This window comes from Homo sapiens, chromosome 5 (genome assembly GCF_000001405.40).
Source record: "Homo sapiens chromosome 5, GRCh38.p14 Primary Assembly".
NCBI classification, from domain to species: Eukaryota; Metazoa; Chordata; class Mammalia; order Primates; family Hominidae; genus Homo; species Homo sapiens.
Window position 1 is genome coordinate 76227922 of NC_000005.10, and position 26163 is coordinate 76254084.

General features: G+C 40.7%; 1 protein-coding gene and 1 pseudogene across 5 annotated transcripts in view; one reads left to right on the forward strand and one right to left on the reverse strand.

The window, feature by feature from the left end:
- SV2C (synaptic vesicle glycoprotein 2C) overlaps positions 1 to 26163 on the forward strand; it is a 506476-nt gene that overhangs the window by 380458 nt on the left and 99855 nt on the right. The window lies entirely within an intron of this gene.
- On the reverse strand, positions 13280 to 14484 carry HMGN2P4 (high mobility group nucleosomal binding domain 2 pseudogene 4; annotated as a pseudogene).

A 26163-nucleotide genomic window follows, 5' to 3' on the forward strand; every position in this document is an offset into this window, starting at 1 on the left:
AGGAGCTTACACGCGGGCCAGCAGAATCGCAAATAGTTCTCCCACCACCCGAGGTTTTATCATTGCTAAGCTACTGCAAGATTATTGTAATTGAAATGGTTCTCAGGCTTCTGGGGTTCTTTCTCTCTATCTCTCTCTCTCTCTCTCTTTCTCTCTCTTTTTTTCTAGCCTGTGACTCACATTTTTTTCTAAGGCATTGTATCAGTGGCCTTTGCAGGCTGCTCAAGGGATCCAGACTTTTGCATTTATTGAACATGTCAGGCATTCATTAAGTACTGCACCATCAGGGAGAATTTCCCTGCTATTAAGCGTCGACTCCAGCCAAATCAGATTCACCTGGGCGTTTCTCAAAGAAAAGCCTGTCAGCATGATAATGGTTTGAACAGGGCTGAGCTGTATGGTTGAAGTGCGACAGGGCAGAAGACAGGCTGTGGTGACCCCAGAGTTGGTCTGTAACTCACAGAGGAATCACACAGTGGAGAGGCTTCAGAAAATCAGAAATCTGACTGTCACAGGTAGCGGGGCAAGCTGCCTGATGATGCACTTCAGGAAGGCTCAGCAGGAGGGTGGGGAGGATGGAAAAACCCGTAACGGAGCAGCTAGAAAATTAAGGCAAGGAAACCGTAAGTCTGCCCTCCAGACTGCCACGGTTTTATGTTTGAGACTGAGGTCACTCCCCCAGGGAAAACAAGAGGAACTGAGAGGTGAGAGTAGGGGAGAAACACCCCTCACTCACCCCTTGAATAAAAACTTTGGTGTCAGTAGCATCCTGTACTAATGTTTATTGAGCATTTATTATGTATCATACTTCATTCCAAGAAGTGAAGGTATATTCTTTAATTTTTACAACTCTTCTATGAAGTACGCATTAATATTATCTATGTTTTACAGGTGAGGAAACTGAGGCCGGGAAGTTAAATGGCTTGCCCTAGGTCACCCAGCTAGTAAGGTGGAGGAGCTAGGATTCAGGGCCATGCCATGCCTCCAGATACCACAACCTTAGTGGCTTTACTATGTGGTTTTCCATTCCATTGGGCTGACACCCAAGAAGCCACAGGTACTCACTGTGGCCCATGCCCAGCTTTCTGTCAAACATTCCTCAAGTTCAAGGGCAATGCCTTTTCCCCTCCTCCCCTGCCCACAAAACGTGTCCTCCAAATGGCCCAGCTGAGAAAGCAGGGAAATTTCTAGAAATATTTGCATAAACTTTGGGTGAAAGTGGAAACCCCACCAACACCCATCCTCCATCCTCCCCACTCTGCTGCCTATGTCTGCCAGGCTGAGGATCCTCACCCTGGTGCGGGACGGCCATGTGGCCATTCAGAGTTCTTCCTACCCCCATCCAACTTTGCAGTGCTGTTGGTTGCTTCAGAGCTTGAGGATCTCTGGACAGATAGGATTTGCTCTCAGGTTTCACATTGCTTCCTTCCTTCAGGCTGGACAATTAGAAATGGGTAGGAGGGTAGTAAAATGGATGCGATGAACTATTCCTTCCAGGCAGGCAGCCCAAGCTGTTGGCCCTCTTCTTTCCATTTGGACTTGGAGCAAGTCCTTCAGTGGGGTTAGTTACTAGGAGCCATGTCAGCTGACCCTCACTCCTTTAAGACTTTCCCACCTTCATGCTCACCTGTACATAAGTTCTTTGTCACTTTCTGATGAAGTCTGAGTCTCCAAATTCCAAAGCTAAAGTGTAGTTAGCCCCTACCATTTCCTGTTTAGACAGGGCAAGATGGCACCCAGCAGAGGAGAGAGAGGACATATATGTGGACAATGCCCTTATCCCCTGGGGGGCTTGCATAACAAGGGCGAAAGCCCTCCCTCTTTCTCAAAGTCATGCTGAGGCTGGACCTCAATAACTGAGAAAGAAGAGTGATGGGGAGGGTGAAGAGGTTGGGGAGAGGAAGCTTGAACTAAAATTCTGAAGTACATGAGATATTGTATGCTGGTGCAGTCATTCTGGAGAACAATCAATGATGCTTGTCAAAATATGTAAATATATACACACCAATCAAGCATACCCCCATCTCTGGTATATGCCCGGAGAAATTCACATGTAAGTCATGAGTAAGGATGTTCACAACATGTTGTTTGTGAAAGGAGAGAGTTAGAGAATCTGTCTGTCCATCACTACGGGAATGGGTATGCACAAGGCAGGGCAGTACTTTGCATCAATTAGAAACAATCATGGTAATTTGATACATCATAAAAGCAGCTGAGTGTAAAGGAAGACAAATGTGAGGACTATATCGTGTTGTCATTATGTAAATGAAAAGACACAAATTTATCTTGCAAGGATTTACTCACATTCAAATCCACAATTAAAACACATTGGCTATGATGGCAGTCATGGAAGAGAATGAGAGTGAAGAATGTTCATAAAAGGGATAATTAACAATGCAATTATTTGCACAATGCTGTATCAACAGCATCAATGATGTGGTACCATGATATGGTCATGGGGAGGGTAATGAATTCAGTTCTCTGCACCTAAGGTTGAAAAGAAAATAAAATGTCAAGAGTTTCATTGGAGTTCATTTTAATTATTCATGTAGGCAATATTGTCTAAGCATAAGATTTATGAAGAACAAATAACATAGCATGGCTGGGCGTGGTGATCCAAGCACTTTGGGAGGCCAAGGCGGGTGGATCACTTGAGTCCAGGAGTTCGAGACCAGCCTGGCCAACATGGTGAAACCATCTCTACTAAAATTACAAAAATTATCTGGGCGTGATGGCGGGCACCTGTAATCCCAGCTACTTGGGAGGCTGAGACAGGAGAATGGCTTGAACCCAGGAAGCAGAGGTTGCAGTGAGCCAAGATTGCACCACTGCACTGCAGCCTGGGTGACAGAGCAAGACTCTGTCTCAGAAGAAAAAAAAAGAAAAGAAAAGAAAGAAAGGCAAGAAAGTAAGAAAAGAAAAGGAATAACATAGTCCTGGACTATGAATCAGAGGCTATATTTTCTTACTTACACCTTTGCACCCTTGGGTTCTCGAAGCCTCAGTCCTGACACACATTAACTAGAAAATGTTTATTTAATTCTAACATAACATCCTGAGTTCCTGTGTAAGTAATTTGCAAAAGCCAAAGAATGGATTAGGAACTCTCTGAATGAAATTTCTCTGCCCAGTGCAGGAACCTGCAGGGTTAATTGGTGCCTGTGAATACAGTATAGCCACAGTCATTTTCCAAGGTTACAAAACACCCCCTCGTCAGTTCAGTTGTTTTTCTTTGGCCTTCAAAGACCTAAGTGTTACAGTTACCATTCTGTGCAATAGATCACTAAAGTTTATTCTTCATGTCCTACTGAAATTTTTTACCTTTTAATAAGTATGTGAAATGATGGATTTATTAGTTAGTTTGATTTAATCATTTCACAATGTAAACATATGTTACAATATCACACTGTACCCCATAAATATATTAATATATACAGTTATTATTTGTCAATTTATGAAAAGATCCAGGAGTTAATGTACTGAGGCTTGCTGCAGCTCATGGCTGATTTTATTTATTTATTTTTTTTTATTATACTTTAAGTTTTAGGGTACATGTGCACATTGTGCAGGTTAGTTACATACGTATACATGTGCCATGCTGGTGCGCCGCACCCACTAACTCGTCATCTAGCATTAGGTATATCTCCCAATGCTATCCCTCCCCGCTCCCCCCACTCCACCACAGTCCCCAGAGTGTGATATTCCCCTTCCTGTGTCCATGTGATCTCATTGTTCAATTCCCACCTATGAGTGAGAATATGCGGTGTTTGGTGTTTTGTTCTTGTGATAGTTTACTGAGAACGATGATTTCCAATTTCATCCATGTCCCTACAAAGGACATGAACTCATCATTTTTTATGGCTGCATAGTATTCCATGGTGTATATGTGCCACATTTTCTTAATCCAGTCTATCACTGTTGGACATTTGGGTTGGTTCCAAGTCTTTGCTATTGTGAATAATGCCGCAATAAACATACGTGTGCATGTGTCTTTATAGCAGCATGATTTATAATCCTTTGGGTATATACCAAGTAATGGGATGGCTGAGTCAAATGGTATTTCCAGTTCTAGATCCCTGAGGAATCGTCACACCGACTTCCACAATGGTTGAACTAGTTTACAGTCCCACCAACAGTGTAAAAGTGTTCCTATTTCTCCACATCCTCTCCAGCACCTGTTGTTTCCTCACTTTTTAATGATTGCCATTCTAACTGGTGTGAGTTGGTATCTCATTGTGGTTTTGATTTGCATTTCTCTGATGGCCAGTGATGGTGAGCATTTTTTCATGTGTTTTTTGGCTGCATAAATGTCTTCTTTTGAGAAGTGTCTGTTCATGTCCTTTGCCCACTTTTTGATGGGGTTGTTTGTTTTTTTCTTGTAAATTTGTTGGAGTTCATTGTAGATTCTGGATATTAGCCCTTTGTCAGATGAGTAGGTTGCGAAAATTTTCTCTCATTTTGTAGGTTGCCTGTTCACTCTGATGGTAGTTTCTTTTGCTGTGCAGAAGCTCTTTAGTTTAATTAGATCCCATTTGTCAATTTTGGCTTTTGTTGCCATTGCTTTTGGTGTTTTAGACATGAAGTCCTTGCCCATGCCTATGTCCTGAATGGTAATGCCTAGGTTTTCTTCTAGGGTTTTTATGGTTTTAGGTCTAATGTGTAAGTGTTTAATCCATCTTGAATTGGTTTTTGTATAAGGTGTAAGGAAGGGATCCAGTTTCAGCTTTCTACATATGGCTAGCCAGTTTTCCCAGCACCATTTATTAAATAGGGAATCCTTTCCCCATTGCTTGTTTTTCTCAGGTTTGTCAAAGATCAGATAGTTGTAGATATGCGGCATTATTTCTGAGGGCTCTGTTCTGTTCCATTGATCTATATCTCTGTTTTGGTACCAGTACCATGCTGTTTTGGTTACTGTAGCCTTGTAGCATAGTTTGAAGTCAGGTATTGTGATGCCTCCAGCTTTGTTCTTTTGGATTAGGATTGACTTGGCGATGCGGGCTCTTTTTTGGTTCCATATGAACTTTCAAGTAGTTTTTTCCAATTCTGTGAAGAAAGTCATTGGTAGCTTGATGGGGATGGCATTGAATCTGTAAATTACCTTGGGCAGTATGGCCTTTTTCACGATATTGATTCTTCCTACCCATGAGCATGGAATGTTCTTCCATTTGTTTGTATCCTCTTTTATTTTGTTGAGCAGTGGTTTGTAGTTCTCCTTGAAGAGGTCCTTCACATCCCTTGTAAGTTGGATTCCTAGGTATTTTATTCTCTTTGAAGCAATTGTGAATGGGAGTTCACTCATGATTTGGCTCTCTGTTTGTCTGTTGTTGGTGTATAAGAATGCTTGTGATTTTTGTACATTGATTTTGTATCCTGAGACTTTGCTGAAGTTGCTTATCAGCTTAAGGAGATTTTGGGCTGAGACAATGGGGTTTTCTAGATATACAATCACGTCGTCTGCAAACAGGGACAATTTGACTTCCTCTTTTCCTAATTGAATACCCTTTATTTCCTTCTCCTGCCTAATTGCCCTGGCCAGAACTTCCAACACTATGTTGAATAGGAGTGGTGAGAGAGGGCATCCCTGTCTTGTGCCAGTTTTCAAAGGGAATGCTTCCAGTTTTTGCCCATTCAGTATGATATTTGCTGTGGGTTTGTCATAGATAGCTCTTATTATTTTGAAATATGTCCCATCAATACCTAATTTATTGAGAGTTTTTAGCATGAAGGGTTGTTGAATTTTGTCAAAGGCCTCTTCTGCATCTGTTGAGATAATCATGTGGTTTTTGTCTTTGGCTCTGTTTATATGCTGGATTACATTTATTGATTTGCGTATATTGAACCAGCCTTGCATCCCAGGGATGAAGCCCACTTGATCATGGTGGATAAGCTTTTTGATGTGCTGTTGCATTCGTTTTGCCAGTATTTTATTGAGGATTTTTGCATCAATGTTCATCAAGGATATTGGTCTAAAATTCTCTTTTTTGGTTGTGTCTCTGAGCTCATGGCTGATTTTATTTCTTCTAGTCTTGGGAAGTTTTTTATTGAAATATTTTTTATGTCATAACAATGAAATTGCATTAATTCACAACATGGAGGGACAAGCTCTTTTAGGGAGACTTCTATGTATATAATTATTTTAAACAAATGTTATTTGCTTAATATGTCATGGATTTTTATAAGCCATAATGTATTTGAGCATATCAGTTTATAGTATATGATATGGTGTGTTATTCAATAAATATTTAAATGTGAAGGAACTAGTAATTCAGAAACACCTATGACATGTTCCTAGAACTGCCTCACACAGCAATTTAATATTTTCTCTTTTTGCTGCAACAAATTAAGTGTATCAGTTCACACTGAGCAATAGGGTCACTATTATATCAGTCTGTGCATGTTTCTGAAAAAAATTATCACTCAAATTCTAAAGCACGATTTATAAATAACATGTCCATTTTATCAAACTCAGTGTAACATATTCCAGGTGTTCTTTCAATGATCTTATACAAAAGATCTGGCAAGTTTTCTTAGAGGAAAGTTTTCCGGAGTTTTTACTCAGTAAGAATCAAATGCTTTATGTCTTTGGTACTGTGATTCCAGAATTGGAGGAATCCAAAGGGATGAAGTTTTATTCTGATATATTATTCCACTTCATCATAACAACCTGATTTCAGCCTTCTGTTTCTCCTGGTTGCCCACAGAATCACTGCCACCGTCCTTAAAAACAAGCATTCTGGCCCTTTGCAAGAGCATTATAAATCATGGTTTCATTTTAGGGAAAAGGTTATTGATTTGCTCATTTTCCCCTGCCTCCCTCTGGTGCAGACTTCAGTGAAAAACTGAAGCTTCCTTTATGAAGTATATCATAGCCAATCAAAAGTGTGGCCTGTGCTTACTTGATTTATAATGAAAGGTGACACGAGTGAGGGATTTCACACTGCTCATCCTACAGTGACTGTAATCAAGAGATAAAAGCTAGAGCAACTACAAATGCTGGCCAGACTTCATCAGAATTATTTACTGCGTTTGCTAAGACAGGGACATTCGATCAGTTTAGATGGAAGAACTAACACAGTTAAAGGCGATGCATTTGTGTTTCATTTTGCTTTTAAAGCCAGCTAACATTCCACTTTTCCTATCGTAATTAACTTGGCCTTTTAAGATTGTACCCAATTGTGATTTGCTTTAAGTGATTTTTTTTTTCACAAAAGGATCAGAAAAAAGACAAAGGGAGAATTATCCATGGAGAAAAGGGCAAAAAAAAAAAAAAAAGGAAGTAAAGTAGTGATGAGACATTTAACGATATTTTTGAAAGGCCTAAAGTCAAGGAATAAGTGAATATCATTAGTAAAATGCAGAAATGCCATGAAATGTCTTGGCAGCAAGGTAAATGAGGCCCCGTTAGATTTTCTTTCTGGTTATGTTATGGATTTTTCTAAGGCATGATATACATTGGTTGGTAAAGGGAAAGCCAGCAAAGCTTTCTTTATCAGTGGTGAAAGAAAACATGTCTGAAGCTGGGACATTTGCAGTATGATTTTAAGTATATTTATAGAGAGATTGAAATTACAAATAAAAATAATAAAAATCATATCAATGTAAACATTTACATAGGAAGAGTACTGCAGTGTGATTAAATGTTTGTAGTGTGGCCGAAACTCAGAACACAGAATGCTGTCACTGAGGTGTATTGTGAATGCTTATATGGAAAATCCCAGGCTATCGATTTCACATGGCCTTTGCTTAGTGCAATAAAAAAAGGGATTAAGATTTTTTTTCAAGCATAATAAAACATCTGTGGACTCATTTTCAGATCTAGAGAAAAACATCATTATTTTAAGAATCCATATTTTTTTTCCTTTCCATTTAGCTCACACTTACTTAGTACATTTCATTAATTGCGTCTCCTACAGCTGAGCATGACTCTTTTTGCATCTAAATTGATTAAAATAGAGAACAGTTGGTGATATGAGTTGTCTTCCCCCCACCGGTTCTATATGAAATTGAATAATTTATGTATTGTAGAAGACAGAGTGATCTTAATATAGAAATTGTATTTGCAGAGCTCAGTGGAGGTTCCCATGTTTTCTTACAAAGAAACTGATCTTTTGCCTTAGCTGAGCCATTTCTTCTCTAAGATAAAATGAGGTAACTTTTTTGTTGGCACATGCTCCACACACCATGTCAGCAGCATACCCAAAGACTTCTAAGACAACTCTTTAGTTATCAAACAAAACTGGCTCTGTGGCACAATGGATAGCACGTAAAAGTTAGTTCATAGCTTCAGAATACATTTTACCTTTTATAGTCAATATTGAAAATCAAAGTAACATGTCCATAGTCCTAAAAATCAAATACACTAGGCCTGGGCATGGTGGCTCACACCTGTAATCCCAGCACTCTGGGAGGAAGGCAGGTGGATCACTTCAGGAGTTGAAGGCCAGCCTGGTCAGCATGGTGAAACCCCGTCTCTACTAAAAATACAGAATTATCCAGGCATGGTGGCAGGTGCCTATAATCCCAGCTACTCGGGAAGCTTAGGTGGGAGCATCACTTGAACCCAGGGGGCAGAGGTTGCAATGATCCAAGATCGCATCACTGCACTCCAGCCTGGGCAACAGAATGAGACCCTGTATCAAAAAAATAAAATAAAATAAAGAGAGAGAGAGAGAAATAGAGAGGAGGGAGATGCCAGGTTCTTTTTAACAACCAGCTCTTATCGGAACAAATAAAGTGAGAACTCACTCATTTTCTACCACTGCAGGGAGAGCATTAATCTATTCATGATAGATCTACCTCCATGACCCAAATATTTCCCATTAGGCCCCACCTCCGACACTGGGGGTCAAATTTCAACATGAAACCAATTGATATGGTTTGACTCTGTGTCCCCACCCATATCTTGCCTCAAATTGTAATCCCCATAATCCCCACATGTCAAAGGCGGGAACAGGTGGAGGTAATTGCATCCTGGGGGTAGTTTCCCCCATGCTGTTCTCATGACAGTGAGTGAGTTCTCATGAGATCTGATGGTTTTATAAGCATCGGGCATTTGCCCTGCTTGCACTCACTCCGTCCTGATGCCCTGTGAAGAAGGTGCCTGCTTCTCCTTTGCCTTCAATCATGATTGTAAGCTTCCTGAGGCTTTCCCAGCAATGTGGAACTGTGAGTCAGTCAATTAAACCTCTTTCCTTTATAAATTCCCCAGTCGTGGGTATTTCTTCATAGCAGTGTGAGAATGGAAAAACACACCAATCTATACCAATCAGTAATCAGAATTTACATTATTCTGACTTCTACTGAACCAAGTAGTATATTGAGTATGATTACTTTCTCATACAACTTTTGTCTTTCCTGGAGTTAACAATTATATTGTGTTTTTATTTGCCTGGTTTTCTATGTGTGTTTCACAAATTCTTCCCATATCTATAGTCTCATAATGTAGGTTTTCAACATAATGAAATGTATTGGGTGAACTATCTTACCACCATTTTTTTACTGAAGACATTTCTCCGAGAGTTCTTGGTCCTTCCGTTTCTTAGGTCTGCTGCATATCTGTCATCCTGGAACTTCTCTCCACTGCTCCCCTGAGTTGATCTATTTCTGGAACCCCTGGACTTTCTGACTTATACCTTCTTTTTGGTGAAGTATAATCTTTGGCAATTTCTATAGAAAAGTTAAACAGAAGTAGGTTGCTGTTGTTATTGTGTTTTGGTCCTTGCATAACTGACAGTGTCTTTATCATACCACATACTATATTGATAGTATGGCTGGACATAGAATTCTAGGTTGGAAATCATTCTACCTCAGAATGTTTGAAGATATTGCCCACTGTCATCTAGCATCCAGCATTGTTGATAAATCTGATGCCTTTATGATTCCCTTGGCTTTATATATGACCTGTATTTTCTGTGAGTTCTTATCTACTCTTTATCTGTGGTATCATGATCATAATATTCAAATGTGTCTGTTACTTCTCTGCACTTTGCTGAGATTTATTGAGCCATTTTAATTTGAAGGCTTATGGCCCTAGTCCAGAGGACTAACACACACACACACACACACACATACATACATACATACATATACACACAATCACACATACACACACACACACACACACACACACACACACACACACATATATATACCTCACCACCATTTTTTTTGTTGTTGTTCTCACTTTCTGGAATGTCCGTCTAATGGGTGTTGAACTACCTGGATCCATTTTCTAATATTTTGATCTCCTCATTCCTATTATCCATCCCTTTGTCTTTTTATTCTCCTTTCTAGGAGCTTCTTTATATCTTCCAACCATTCTATTGAGTTTTTATTTCTGTTATTACTATATTTTTATTTCTAAGGAGGGGTGTGTGTGTATGTGTGTGTGTGTGTATGTGTGTATGTTCTTTGCCCTTTTTAATCCAACCTTTCATTGTTTCATGGCTGTATCATGTTCTCCTACATCTCTAAGGGATTGACTATGAGGTTTTGGGATGGGAGTGATCCGCGTTTTGTTCCCTGTAGTGTCTGTCCTTCTGAGTTTCTTTTTTTCTGTTGTTTTGGTCTCTCTTTCATGTTGGACACTCTCTTAGTACCTGAAAGTCTTCAGTTATCTATTAATATTTAAGAGCGAAGCACGGAAAATCTGACTGAAAACTGAATAAGGGGAGCTTGTCAACTAGGGTTGAGGGTGAGGGTGTGTCACAGTCAGGCGTTCTAGCAGCAGGCAGCCTTTTAATCCAAAGGTACTCTAATTGTTTGAATTTGTCTCTTTTTTAGAAGACTATTTTCTGTGAAAACGAACAATTCATTTTCCATATTGGAGGAGTAAGCCTGACTCCTGGGGTTCTGAGAAGGATGTGGAGGGGAATGCCACACTATTCACACTGGTGAAAACTTTGACTTAAATCCTCTACTTTTAGTCTCACACTTAACTCATTTTCTTTCTGATTGATTTACCCAAGTCCAGACTATTGCAACATGAGTGAAGGGTAGTCCTCTGATTGCTTGGCTGGGGAGAAGTCTGAAGTTCTGCCCACTGCATTCACAGGTTTTCGATGAATTTCATTATTTTCAGCCTGTGTCTCACTCCTATCCTCCTAAGTATCTGGTGCCTTCAACATCTGACCCTTTTGGGATCCTAGGGAATAAATAGTCTTCCCCCCCACTTCTGTATGTCCTGACACCACAGTTTCCTTGGCTCCACTAAGCCAGTTATTCTTCCTCTGTCTGCTTGCTGTCTTCCAAAATCTTGTCGAGATCTCATCCCTCATTATCTCCTCTCCAGTTTTCTTTGTTCTTGTTCTTTATTCCTTTACCCTTACATAGTGATGTTTGAAATGACAGAATGATATTTAGTCTGCCATGTCCATTGAGCAGTCAAGAATAAGTTCTCCATGTGGAATCAAAGGAGATAGCAGAGCAAATAAATGCTGTACTTGTGCTCTATTGCTGCATAACAAATCACTCCAAAACTCCGTGGCTTAAAACAATAACCATTTATTATTTCATGGTTTCTCTGGGTCAGGAATTTAGACAGTGTGCAGAGGAGATGGCTTGTCTCTGCCGCATGATACCTGGGGTCTTTGCTGGCAGTATTAAAGGCTGGGGGCCTAGTATTATGTGAAGACTTATCTAAGGCTGAAGGATCCACTTACAAGGGGGCTTACTCACTTGGCTACCAAGTTGGTCCTGGCAAGTTGGTTCATCTCCACATGAGCCTCTCCCCAAATGGGCCTCTCCACCCTGCTTGAGTGTCCTCACTATTAAAGGTTAGCACCCCCTAACCCCAAGCTAGTGATCAAAGAGTAACTAAGGCAAAATCTGCAATGCCTTTCCTGACCTAGCCTGGGAAGTCACACACTGTCACTTCTACAGCATTCTGTTGCCACCCATGCTAGCCACAATTCATTAATGTATGAATCCCAGGTGATGTGGATCGCTAGGGGCATCTTGGAGGCTAGCTGTCACAAATGCCCAACTCCCAGGAGGGCTATCTGCTTCCCTTCTTTGCAACATGATTTTGTGTTGGAAAGAAGTCAGAAAAAATATTTTCCTCCCTGTCTTAAGCTAAGATGTTGGTGTTTTTGTTCCTTTTCCTTTCTTATGCTTTTTATTCTGCACCATTCATCAAATATTGTGCCCTTTTTCTTTGAAATCTTGAAAGATGAAGAATGTGAAAGCAAAAGAGAAGAATCTAATGCCTACTATTTGTTTTGGTGGCACCCCTACAGCATAAAATTGTGGCACGTGTGAGGGAGAACATAGTGTTGGTTCAGTGCCAGCCAAGGGAGACTGCATTCCCACACCCCTACCCCAAATGTGGCAAGTAATAATTACACAGCAGTTGTGTGATAACTTCTGCTTAAAGCAGATGTATTTTGACACATCACCTGTCCCCTGATATCAGTGTAGCTGTGTAAACAGTAGTGTGTACATTACCAACATTTTACCCCAAGCATCCCCTTAGGGTCTCCGATTTTCTGCCTCAGGGCTCTCTCCAAAGACCTCTCATCCCCACACAGACTCAGCCTCGAAGTGCAGGGGAAGTAACTAACTAGGAATCAACCCTCAACTAAAAGACAACAGAAGGCAGTGGATAATTGTCCTCTGGAGGAACCATCTGTGACACATTCTACATGGTTCCTTAGAGGGTCCCCAAGTGGGATTGAGTCCCTCTTGTTCCTAGCAGTAAGCAGTTCTGTTATACACTCTTTATATGCTTTTCCTCCTTTCCTCTCTCAGTCTCTCTGATCCTTCCACCTGTGCTCTGGGTTCACCTCTCAAGTAAACCACCTGCACACAAGTCCCTGTCTCAGGCTCCATTTGGGGAAACCAAACTAAGACACCACCTCAAAACACAGAATTTCACGAGGCTCCAAATGCCTCAGAAAAGTAATGTAAATATAAAATGACCAATTTTTTGAAGTATATTAATCCTAGTTATGACACTACAGGCAGATGCCAGATAAATATTTATCATTGATTAGATCCACTATTATTAAAAATACAAACTCCCAGATCCCACCCCATTTCCACTTTTTTTTGAGATGGAGTCTCACTCTGTCACCCAGGTTGCAGTGGCAGTGGCGTGATCTCAGCTCACTGCAACCTCCACCTCCCAGGTTCAAGCGATTCTCCTGCCTCAGCCTCCCGAGTAGCTGGGACTACAAGCGCACGCCACCACACCCAGCTAATTTTTGTATTTTTAGTAGAGACGGGGTTTCACCATGTTGTCCAGGATGGTCTCAATCTCTTTTTTTTTTTTTTTTTCCCAAGCCAAACTGTATCCAGCTTTATTAAAGATACTTTCCATAAACAATCATGGTATTTCAGGCAGGACATGGGCAGACAATCGTTAACAGTATACAACAACTTTCAAACTCCCTTCTTCAATGGACTACCAAAAATCAGAAAGCCACTATAAAACCCAATGAAGTCTTCATCTGATGCTCTGAACAGGGAAAGTTTAGAGTGAGGGTTGACATTTCACATTTAGCATGTTGTTTAACAACTTTTCACAAGCCGACCCTGACTTTCAGGAAGTTAAATGAAAATGGCAGAATTTATCTGAAGATCCATAATCTAGAAACAGAACCACTGCTCTTTTGACAGGTGCCATCTCAGTGGCATCACTGGAAAGTCCAGATTGCCTAACACACTGGTAACCAATGACTAGGGGTCAGGTCCCAACAGATGTCTGGGCTTAAGGGAGTTAAGTCTATGCTGAAAGAGGGAAAGGGAGACGAGGACATAAAAACAAATTTGTTTTTCTATACCACAAGGCTTTTGTGCCAAGGTGGCCATGTGTGTCAAAGTCAGGGAATCCCTCCTCCTGGAAGCCAAGAGGAAGTCTCTCAAAACTAGAAGGGAAAGGTGTTTTCTCCACATCAATCCAGCTTTGGAGACATTCTATTAGCGACATATGCCCCTTCCCCCAAAAACAACAATGAAGTGTTCTATGTGCTAACAACATAGCTTTAAAAAAAATAAAATAAAATAAAACAAAATTCTGCATTTTTATAAAACTTGATAAAAAATAGTATTTCAAACTGTACAGTCACCAGAAGTACACAGTTATCAAAAATGCACACACTTCACTTGGCATCTCCAGCACCTTCAGCTTTCTGCGCCTGGTCTGTTTTGGCATCTCCATTTCCTGCAGGGTTATTTCCCTCCTTGCCAGCATCAGCTTTTCCCTTTTTCCCTTTGGGTACCTTCTCTCCCTTCTTTGCAGGGGCCTTTTAGGCGTGGGCTCTGGCTTTGGAGGAGCAGGTTTAGCAGACAACCTCGCGGATCTTCTCTGTGGTTCGTCCTTCACCTTGGCTTTATCTCCCTTAGCATCCCCTTCAGCCTTTCTCTTGGGCATGGTGGCGGCAGCGACGGCAGCGGGACATAGGTGCTGGACGCGGGACGCAGCGGCGCGCGGGCTTTGGTCGGACCGGGGGTCGTTCTCGCCTCTTCTTCACACTGCTCCGGTCTCAATCTCTTGACCTCATGATCTGCCCACCTCGGCCTCCCAAAGTGCTGTGATTACAGGCATGAACCAATGCGCCCAGCCCAGTTTGCACTTTTAATAAGGAACCCTGGTGATTCTTATGTAGGTGGTTTAGGAACCACACTTTAAAAAACGCTGGCCTCATGGCTTCAAGTGAGACATGTTTTGTTTTATTGGTACAGAAACAAAATGCTGCGAGGTCACACAGATAGTGGGTACAGGGCTAGAGTTAAAATCCAGGTGTGTCTGACTTGAAGCCATTCTCTGCACTGACCATCTGCATAATCTTGGAGCATTTTGTTTCTTCATCAAGAAAACGAAGATGATGCCAGGTGTGGTAGCTCACGCCTGTAATCTCAGCACTTTAGGAGCCTGAGGTGGGAGGACTGCTTGAGGTCAGGAGTTCAAGACTAGCCTGGACAGCATAACAAGACCCCATATCTACAAAAAATTTAAAAAATTAGTAGTAGTCCCAGCTACTCAGAAGGCTGAGGCGGGAGGATCCCTTGAGCCTGGGAGTTTGAGGCCGCAGTGAGCTAAGATCACACCACTGCACTCCAGCCTGTGCAACAGATCGAGACCCCATCTAAAAAAAAAAAAAAAAAAAAAAAAAAAAGACAAAAAGAAAAGAAAGAAAGAAAACGAAGATAGTGGCATCTACTTGTTAGGTCATTACTAGGATAAAATGAGATGAGCCATGTAAAGAGGTTGGTGAGGGGCAAGGCACCATAGCAAGTGCTCAGTAAATGGTTGCTGTGCACACACAGAGCTATAATATACTTGCACTACAGAAATGCATGGAATCAAAAAAAATGTATGTTTTCTAAAAACAGAGTTAATCTGCTAGGGACTTACAAACCTCAAGTAAAGGATTCCACAAGAACGCTCTCAGATTAGTTCTACAGTCAACAAATGCGTATTGAGGGGATTTTATTTCCTGGTATAACTCAAAGACTTCCTCTGAGGGTTTTTCAGCTGAGTGCAGGACAGCAGCTGGGAGCACAGAGGCAGTCCACATGAGCATCTTCTGGGCTTGCCATAATGCTTTTGACTGGGAAGAGAGATTTTTTTAAAAGATGGCTTTTCCTGGATCTTTTTCAATTTGTAGTAAAATACACAGTGGGATTCTGAACACATCTCATTTTATTTTCCTGCTGCATACACCCTTGGATGCTCAATAAGTCACTGCTGACTGGTGCCAAAGCCTCCTGCCTGCTCTCTTTGATTCTGCTTCTGTGCCGTGCCCCGCAGTCTATTCTCAACAAGACAACCAGTGTGGTCCTTCAAAAATCTAGATCTCTTCTGTCATTTCCTATTCTTGACCCCCTGTGTCTCCTCATCACACTTGAAAGTAAACCTCAAGTCCTGGCCGGGCCCTCCTTGGGTGTGCCCAATCAGGTCCTGGCTTACCTCACATCCTCCCACTCCAACTCACATGCAGCCACACTGGCCTTGCTCTGCTCTGAATACGCCAAAAACATTTCCCTCTCAGGGCATTTGCACATGTAGTCCCCTCTGTTTGAAATGTTCTCTCAAACATCCACAGGGACCGCCCTCTCTCTGCATTCAGTTCTCTGTGGCTTGGAGAGGCCATCCCTTCCCACCCTACCTAAAATACCTAAAATAGCACACCCATTCTCAGTCCAAGCCCCTAGCTCCTTACACTGATTTATAACACACATTCAATATGGCATCTTCAGTTAGAATGAAACTCCATGTGGGCAGGACTTTGTCTCACTTACTACTCTGTCCCCAGGCCTAGAAAAGAACCAAACACGGTAAGCTCTCAAAAAGCAGAATGAGATGTCAAATGAAGTATTTCTGGTGTGGATTGGGGCTGGCCACATGTAGGATATCTTGCTTAATTGACAAATGATTTATAGAGCCCCTGTTGTACACAAAACATGGTGCCAAGGCAAAAGATGAGTAAGACCAAGTTCCTGCCTTCAAAGAGTTTTGGTCTTGCCCAGTGCTGTCCAGTAGAAATATAACATGAGCCACAAATGTAATTTAAAATTTCTAGTAACCACATCAAACAGTAAAAAGAAATATGTACCATTAGTTCTTATAATTACCTTATTTTAACCCAACAAATATCCAAAATGTCATTTCAACATGTAATCAATATAAAAATGAGATAGTTTACATTCTTTCTTTGGTATTATCCTTTAAATCTGGTATGTAGTTTACATTTACAATGCATTTCAATTCAGATGCAAGTTTTTATTGGAAACCCTTGTTCTATATTTAGAGTCCATAAAGTTTACAAAATGTCAGTTCATATTCAAGTTGATCCAAACATACTTAATGGTTTTTGAATCACTGAATCAAGTTAAATTCATCAAAATTAATAAAAGTCCTAATTCTGTTTCTCAGTCACACTAGCCATGTTTCAAGGGCTCAATACCAGTGGCTAGTGGCTGCCATATTGTACTAGGCAGTCCAGGTCTAACAGAATAGATGAGGTGTATAAATGTGGGGAAGTGAATACATTCATGAAGAGATCATATAAAGAAGAGAGTCAAAGTCTGAATACTGCCTTTGTACACAACCTCTTCCTGACAGGAACTGTCTCTTTCTTTAGGACTCAATTTATATGTCAGCTTTTCTAGGAAATCTTCCATGGTACCCCCAAATTGGGTTAGTTCCCCTCAAGTGTAAGATCCCAGAGTACCCTGTATGTCTACCATCTTCAGTTTGCCCTTCTATGTTTCAATTGCTCTCTATATATTTATATTTGCATTTCCCCCGAGTTTATAAACTTCATGTGGCCAGGAGCTGTCACTGTTAATTCCTCAATGCCAGATTCCCAATAAATTTTGTAGGAATGAATGAATGAATGAATGAAATGGCCAAGACTTGGAGGAAGAGGAAGAGGAAGGACTAGCCCTGCTAGAATGGAGAAACAGGCTGTGGAAGGGGTTCCAGGATGGGGCAAGGACCAGGGATGAAGATAGAAGCTCAGTTCATGCAAAAGTCACCAGTGGCAAATGATTCTGAAGAGTCCAAGGAGATGTGAGCTAAGAAAACACGATCAGACTTAATAAGCAGGAAGCCACTTTTATGGGAGCCTACAAGAGACAATCAGATCAACCTAAGCTCAATACTTTTTTTATAAGTTCAAAAATGTATTGATGTCCTTGGTTTAAGAGTTTTTGATATTTTAAATATTGTGAGTAGACTGGATTCTAAGGCCGTGGTCCAGTTTTAATGTCTGGTCAGCTGAGGTTCTTCTAGTTACTGCAGTCTCCACCAATGACAGCTGTTAACTCTATATGCTAATTGAAATTGGGAGCGAATTGCAGCTGGCTTGGGGCATTTCGTGTGATTTATGGGCATCTGATCTAAAGATACTTAAAGGATGGAATTATTGGAGCCAGGAAGAGAGATGTGATTAATCAAAGAAGACAATTCAGTAAATGGCCCACTAAAACACTGCAGTATAAACTAAAACAGGAACTCTAGTTCCATCTATTGAGGCAGGGGAGTGTGTGTGTGTGTGTGTGTGTGTATGTGTGTGTGTGTGTGTGTGTGTGTGTTAAAGGGTATAAACAGGATATAGAAGGTTTTTTTTCCAGCATATAGAGATTATGGTTGGGGGATTCTGAAGGACATATATTTATCTTTTAAGTTTGCTTACAATGTACCCATCACCATCAGGAAATGTCAAGTTCCTAGCCCTGTGATTTCATCCTGAGGACTCCTGGGAGTTAGGGGAATCACCATGTGGGAAAAAAAAGACAATACCTTTTATTCAAATTTTTAAGGGCCAGTGTGAGTTGTCATCTTTCCATATTCCTGAGTATTCATTCATTTTTATCATAAGGCCTGTGGGTCTGCGGTTACCTTTGTCAAAATTACTGGCACTAAGAAACCAGGATGCAAGTTAAAAGTTCTCAGTATTTATCTAAATAGAAAAATAAGTGATTATCGGTAACATATAAGTGATTGTCTTGAATAATTGTTTATTTGTGCCTTCAGAGTTAACCTAGACTTATGTTCCTCCTGTCCAGTGGACTGTCTTATTTATTGCTGAAGACCTAACTCTGACAGGCAGCTAGACATTTTTTCAGTAGCTGTGGACCATTAAAACAATTGGTCAGTTAAGTCCTTTCAGGAGGAAAATCTCTGACTTGTTTGTAACTGTGTAAGTAGGCACCTTCTGGGTCCACACAGCACAAATCCTAAATAGCAACACACACACTCACACTCACACTCACACTCACACACACAGCAGAAGAGAAATTCTTCTTAGAAAATCAGGTTAAAAAGGGAAGAGGGAAAAATTATGCCCAGCAAAGCAAGACATAGTGGTGCTGCTTCCCTCCCCATAGACACTAAGACTCAGTGTCCCCACCTCTGTCACCCTCCCCTACCCTACATATACACATGCACCCATTAACATGCATACATGCTTGCTTTTTCCACACTAACGCCCCTTCTTGTGTCAACTCTAAAGTGAAAAGAATCTGGGGCCTAAGTTAGTGGAATACTCACAGAAATGGAAGCCATGGATGGATGGTATGGGTGGAGGTACGAAGAGATTCAGGTGGCATCTTTGCTTTTCCTCTGAAACTATCAAAGAAATGATTAGGAATGATATATGTGCTGAGAGATGTATTGATGACCTTTACAGAATGGAAATTGAAGAACCAGAGATTAAAGATTAGAAACTCAAAATCTTTTAGCCCCAGAGTGTCCTAGTTCCCTAATTGGTAAGACAGGGGCCAGTGAGGCGGACACACCTTGAAGAAGGACTAACTAAGGATCACAGTGCTGTATTGACCTTAGCAAATGCTACAGAGGAGAGGAAATAACTGAGCCAGAACAATGATTGTGTCTTATGACCTGCCGTGTGCAACAGATGGGATGCTAAACACTTACAGGTACTTTTAATTGAATAATGCTTTCCCGTGGCCATATGCTGTGATTATTTGTATGCTTCCTGTTCATGCTTTATTCATCTGTAGCTGTCACTCACTTAAAACCAACTTTCCCTTTCCATATCTAGGGATTGAAGTGGATACTGTGAAGTGTGAATGAGAAATAGAAAAAACATTGTTTACTGAGTACAGCTTATTTTCTCCTGCAACGTGATTATTTATTATCTGTGTGTTCATTTCAGATTATGAATTATTACTGCTGGTAATGCCTGTTCTTTCTTCCAGTTGCTGTGCATTGGCACACAGGAGCGAATATCAAATGCCAAGGGGAGGGTAATACAACATCGGGGAACTAGGGTAATTCTAACAATCTATTGGGAAGAAAATCTGTGCACTTGAATTTTGAATTTAAGTCAAAGTTTTTAACAATTGTGGACCAAAAGTAGTCTTTCTTTTTGTATTAAAACAGAAAACAGTTGCCCCAACCAAAGCCTCTACAATGCCATATCATTAGCTTCTGAGATTAAATTTGACAATATAAGATTACATGCATGCTAATATTTCATAAATAAATAATAAGGCATGCAAAAGTCAGCTCTCAGCCATCCCTTCCTCACCTGGCAAGGTATTTGATGACAGTGATTATTAGGTGACTGAAAGAGAATAAGCAAGGCCGTAATGAAGGAAAGAAATTAATTGCCCAAAACCTGGAGAGTTTTTGGTTCAGAGCTGCTAATGATCAAGTTATATGCATGTCCTATTTGCCATTAAAATGCTGCAAAACTGGAAATATTCTTAATGGAAGAACACACTATTGTGTACTTTGGCCTGCCACGAGCATCATCTAGAACCCCTCAAATGCATAGCACACATGTTCATAGGCAGCTATGTTAGTTTGCTAGGGCTGCCATAACAAAGTGCCACAGACTGGGTGGCTTCAACTGCAGAAATTCATTTTCTCACAAATATGGAAGCTAGAAATCTGAGATCAAGGGGTTGGCAGGTTTGGTTTCTTCTGAGGCCTCTTTCCCTGGCTTTTAGATGGTTGCCTTCTTGCTGTGTTCTCACATGGTCATTTCTCTGTTTTCTGTGTCCTAATCTGCTCTTCTTATAAGGACACCAGTCGTATTGAATTCAGGCCCACCTTAATGAACCCATTTTAGCTTAATTGCCTCTTTAAAAGCCCTGTATCCAATATAGATCTGAGGTACTGGGGGTTAGGGCTTCAATATATAAATTTGGAGGGGACTAAGTTCAGCCCATAACAGCAGCCATCTTTCTAGCCCAGTGCCCTGCACATAGTAGGTGCTCAGTGATTTTTTTTTTTTTTTGAGACGGCCTTGCTCTGTCACCCAGGCTGGAGTGCAGTGGTGCGATCTTGGCTCACTGCAACCTCCACCTCCTGAGTCCAAGTCATCCTCCCACCTCAGCCTCCAAAGTAGCTGGGATTACAAGCATGCACCACCACGCCCAGCTAATTTTTGTATTTTTAGTAGAGACAGGATTTCACCATGTTGGCCAAGCTGGTCTGGAACTCCTGACCTCAAGTGATCCACCTGCCTTGGTCTCCCAAAGTGCTGGAATTACACATGTGAGCCACCACGCCTGGCCTCAGTGAACAATTTTTGAATGACTGAATGAAAAGAATTAGCCAGAAGTTCCTGTGTTGAGAGAAAAGGGTGGGTATTATTAGGAGGAGTGTGGTGATGCTGTGGTTGCAACTGGACCATTCAGAGAAAATAGCAATCAGTTTTTTAAAAATATTTATATCCTTAATAAACCTGGAAGAAAAGTAAAATTCTAGATCCCCTATAAAGAGACAAGGAGAAAAGACTTGGATAGTCTCTCTTTGAGGGACACAGTTGGAAGTATACACACAGAAGTTCTCCAAGAGCTGCTTCTATCATATCTTGTGATTTAAAGCTGATTGCAAGCAATTAGCAGCACTTCTGAGTTTATGAAAATGTTAAGTGGGTGGTTCTGTAGTAGATTTTGTTTACTCTAGAGCCCATTGTTTATTTTAATGCATTCAAACAAGAAATGCCTGATGCTAGATGTAAAATGTTTATCAATTTTACATCTCCCCATAGTCACAAAGTTTAAAAAAAGACCATGTGAAGTAAATTGGAAAGATGCATGATGCAGTCCCATTATCCATTAAATATTCAACATTGGCTTTGGAAAATATTGTAGCACTGTAATTTAAAGCCAATTTGGGTAGCATTTTAATAAGATTTGAGGCTTTTGAATAATTGTGTTAATACCAGCAGCTGCTTTTATTTGGTTAGTAAGATGACTAATTCTATAATTAATATATTTAACAAAAATATACTGAAAATATATTCATCTTGTCATTAAGATGTCCATTTGTACAGGTTTCTCTTTAACATGAAAAGATAGTGTGAGGATATCATTGCCTCCCTCTGCTATGATGAAAATGATGGCAGGTAGGTGTGTGTTGCTGATGCGCATGGCTGTGTTTTTGTGCGGCGTCAGTGGCAGCACTGAGCGAGACCCAATCGAAGACTCTGCAGAGCCATGGGGTATATAAATCTTCAGAGTCTCTGACTCAGTCAACCATACAGCAGCTCAATTTTGTGCCACAATCCTGGTAATGAGATTTTTCCATGGTATTGGCTTAACATTACCCCTCAATGGGAACGTTTTATTCTGAACGTTTGCTTTGTGGAATGATCTTTCAGTTCTCTCTCAAAGTCACTCCTCCACAACATAGAAATCAGGTGTGAAATTCAAATAATTGAAGACCTTAATTCTTCATTGTGTACCCAAGTTTCGAGGGTTACTGCCTTGGTAAAGAAATGTTGGCAGGTGCTCCATCTTTGCCTCACTCTCTTCTCCATGTCATTCTGGCTGTTCTTTTATTGCGCGTCCTGCTTTTTTTAAAATATGATGAAGAAAAGTTCAAACCTAACTGGTAAATTAAATAAAATACCTAACATTGCTATTATTTAACTTGATTTTTGTTTCCTACATGTGTTTTAAACCAAAAAAATACTTTATATTTTTAAAATAGGACATTAGGGCTCTCAGCAATGTCCTGACTGAAATCTTGCCTCTCTCCTTTGGCACACTGTGGTTTATTGTTGTTGCTGTCATTTCACGTTGTTGTTGCTACCTCATTTGCACTGAATAAGCGTTCTGTGGAAACAGCATCTGAGCCACTGCTTTCCACCCGTGTTCTAGATGCATCCAATAGGTTTTACTAGAGGAAAGGTGCTATGTGTCCACTTGGAAAAACTGCTAGAGACACTCTTCCTCTTTGAGTCATAATGGATTGGGGTTCACCCCTGCCCCACTGACAGCAGCCTATCTGCACTTGATTGAGGTTGTCTGAGAAGGGTCTCCGCTCCTGGGTCAGCATTAGAAGCCTGGAGTGAAGGAGGAACAGGCTACACTGGCTATGCTGGCTCAGTACTAAGCAGAAAACGATATCATCAAGAGCAAAACCCAATTATTTGTAGCCAGATGGGCACAGATTAATTTCTCTTGAAATCTCAATGGACGTTTTTTTTTCTTGTGATTCTCTTTTTATAAAAGAGAAGATTAAAAGGGCTTCTTGCCCTTGCCTACAAGAAGGGCAGCCATCAGCTGTGTATTATGAGAGCTCTTAAGTTACTTACGATCTGAAAACTACCAGGTAGACCCCACACCTCCATTCCTGGGGTCCTATTGTTTCCCCGACCCACTGCAGTTACCACAGCATGTGCATCAGGAGCATTTCCCACATCTAGGGAAATGTAGTAGCATGTTGATTCAGAACTGATTCCCTTTAAATGCTTCCTCTTATGTCATGCATTATTATTCAAGTCACTCACTATTCTGAGAAACATTGTAGGGTTCCCCACACATAAAACAAAGCATCACGGCAGCCATGTTTTCAGACTTTGGCATGCAATAGAGTCACCTGCAGGGCTCATCAAAGCACAGGTTGTGTCCAGGCATGGTGGCTCATGCCTGTAATCCCAGCGCTTTGGGAGATTGAGGCAGGAGGATCGCTTGAGTCCAGGAGTTCAAGACCAGTCTGGGCAATATGACAAGACCCTGTCTCTACAGAAAAAATAATAATAATAATAATTAGCTGGGGGTGGCAGCTCATACCTGTCATCCTAGCTACTCAGGAGGCTGAGGTGGAAAGATGCTTGAGCCCAGGAGTTAGAGGCTTCGGTGAACTATGATTGTGTCATTGCCCTCCAGCCTGGACAACAGTGTGAGACCCTGTCTCAAAAAACAAACAAAATATTAAACACACACACACAGAGGTTGCCAGGTCTCACCCCACCATTTCTGATTCCAGTGGTCTGGATGGAACCAGGGAATTTGCATCTCTAACACAACCCCAGGTGATACTCACTCTGCTGATATAAGCGCCACACTTTAAGAACCAGTGGTATCCAGTGTCAGAGCTATCCATGCACCTATTCTTTATTTTATTGTTTGAAGTTCAGGAGACCAGGGTTTTGAGCTTGCTAACAAGGTCTCTTTATTCCAGGGACTGACATCACTTATGTACATGACCACTTAATCATTAATTTAATCATTAAACTAGGATTGTTAGCATGAAAACAACAGTACATAACACTGACATAGAATTTGAGTTTACAAAACACTTTTACTCCATTACCTCATTCAAGCCTGCAGACAAGCCCAAAGATTATTGTTATTATTTCTATTCTGCAGATGACAAAACTGAGGTTCGGAATTAGGAGCATTAACCAGACTAATTCCAGAGCTTTTTGATCTTCAAACTAGAGTATGCAAACTCACTGTCCAAGGAGTATATGCAGTGATGCTTTTTTTGTTGTTGTTTTTGAGACAGAATCTCACTTTGTCTCCCAGACTGGAGTACAATGGTGCGATCTTGGCTCACTGCAACCTCTGCCTCCTGAGTTCAAGTGATTCTTCTGCCTCAGCCTCCCAAGTAGCTGGGACTACAGGCTCCCACCACCATGCCCAGCTAATTTTTTGTATTTTTAGTAGAGATGGGGTTTTGCCATGTTGGCCAGGCTGGTCTCAAACTCCTGACCTCAGGTGATCCTACCCGCCTTGGCCTCCCAAAGTGCTGGGATTACAGGCGTGAACCACCGCTCCCAGCCGCAGTGATACATTTAAGAAAGTCAATTTTAAGAAACTCCACATCCATAAGCACTCTTTCCTTAAACTGATCTCCCTGAGAACACAACCTTCTTCTAATCTATGAAAGAAAGATATAATTTTCACTAGCATCAAGTTAGTAACCTCTGGGCTCTGAACAAAGAGGTGATTCAAAATATTGGTATAGCTGGTGAGAACATGACTCACTCTAAATAGGCAAGTAATAAATCCTTTTGTGGTCAGGTGGTTTCGAATATTTTTCTTTTAACAACATTGAAAAAGAATCAAATAAGCTAGTAGATCGTTAACAATTTTGATGATGGATAACTAAGTGAACTCAGAGTTCACAGAATTGAGTGATGTAGCCATAAAAGTAAAACTCCTTCCATTTGTATCTATTATATGAGTAAGAATTAATGACAAACTCTGTCTCATTCTATCAACAAGTAATATTCATCCATGGATACATGAGCCAATTGGGGAAAAAACCCTCCACTTCATGTTATTAAAAGATAAATATCCAATACAACTTTATTTTTTAGTTTAAAAATTATCAAAAATTGTGTAATACATATTGTTATATTGATCAATTGTGTAATAATAACTGCAATAATGGCTCAATCGATAGAGTTTTATCACTTAAAGAGCTTGTGGTCACAGGACTCTTACCTTTTAAATTTAGATACATGTGTTTGTTGCAGAGAATTATAACAGGTTGATCAATAAAATCAGAAAAAGCATGATTCATGCCTAAAAATGTACTGCATTAGGTTAGAATTCTGTGCAGATAGTGGAATGGAAATTCAAGGTCAAAGAGAAAGAAGAAACATAAAATCTCCTTTTGTGGGTTGATTTTTGTTTTTTTATGTTTTTTGCTTTTTGGTTTTTTTGAGACGAGATCTCACTCTGTCGCCCAGGCTGGAGTGCAGTGGCATGATCTTGGTTCACTGCAACCTCGGTCTCCCGGGCTCAAGCGAAAATCTCCTTTGGATCAAAACTAGTCTGTGGGGTTTTCAAGTGGCCAGTGACAGGTTCAAAATTGCTATGGTACTTAGATTCCATTGGCTACATTTTAAAGATTAATGACATGGTTTTATTTAAAGATGCTGTTATTTGCAATATGCCAGAAATTTTACCATTTAGGATGGGAGGGAAATGGTTTCTCAGAATTCTCTGGGATTAGATGAGCATAAAGTGTGGTTCCATATTACTCACCTCTAATTACTCAACACATCCAGCCGTTTCTGGGACAGTTCTATTCCCTTCCCCACCACCTCTCCTCCCTAAGGAAAAAAAAAAAAAAAAAATCTCACCTTTCCTTACTACGAAGATTTTATCTTTGTGAAATCAATGTTTCTTAGTTATTTAATATCACCGAGTCAAAATCTTTTAGCTTTACCTACAGGCATAATTTAACTTAGAAACGATTATCTCCATGTATTATGAGAAGAAAAACTAGTTCAATTTTCTCCCTATCATAAGTTTTTAAAGATTCTGCTGCAGACTATTCTCACTGAGTTTCAAAAACTTGAACTGCTTCCCTCATTAGACTTGGCAGAAGGTAGAAATGTAATGCATTGTCTGGGTGCAGGAGCTCACACCTGTAATCCAAGCACTTTCAGAGGCCAAGGCAGGAGCATTGCTTGAGGCCAGGAGTTTGAGACC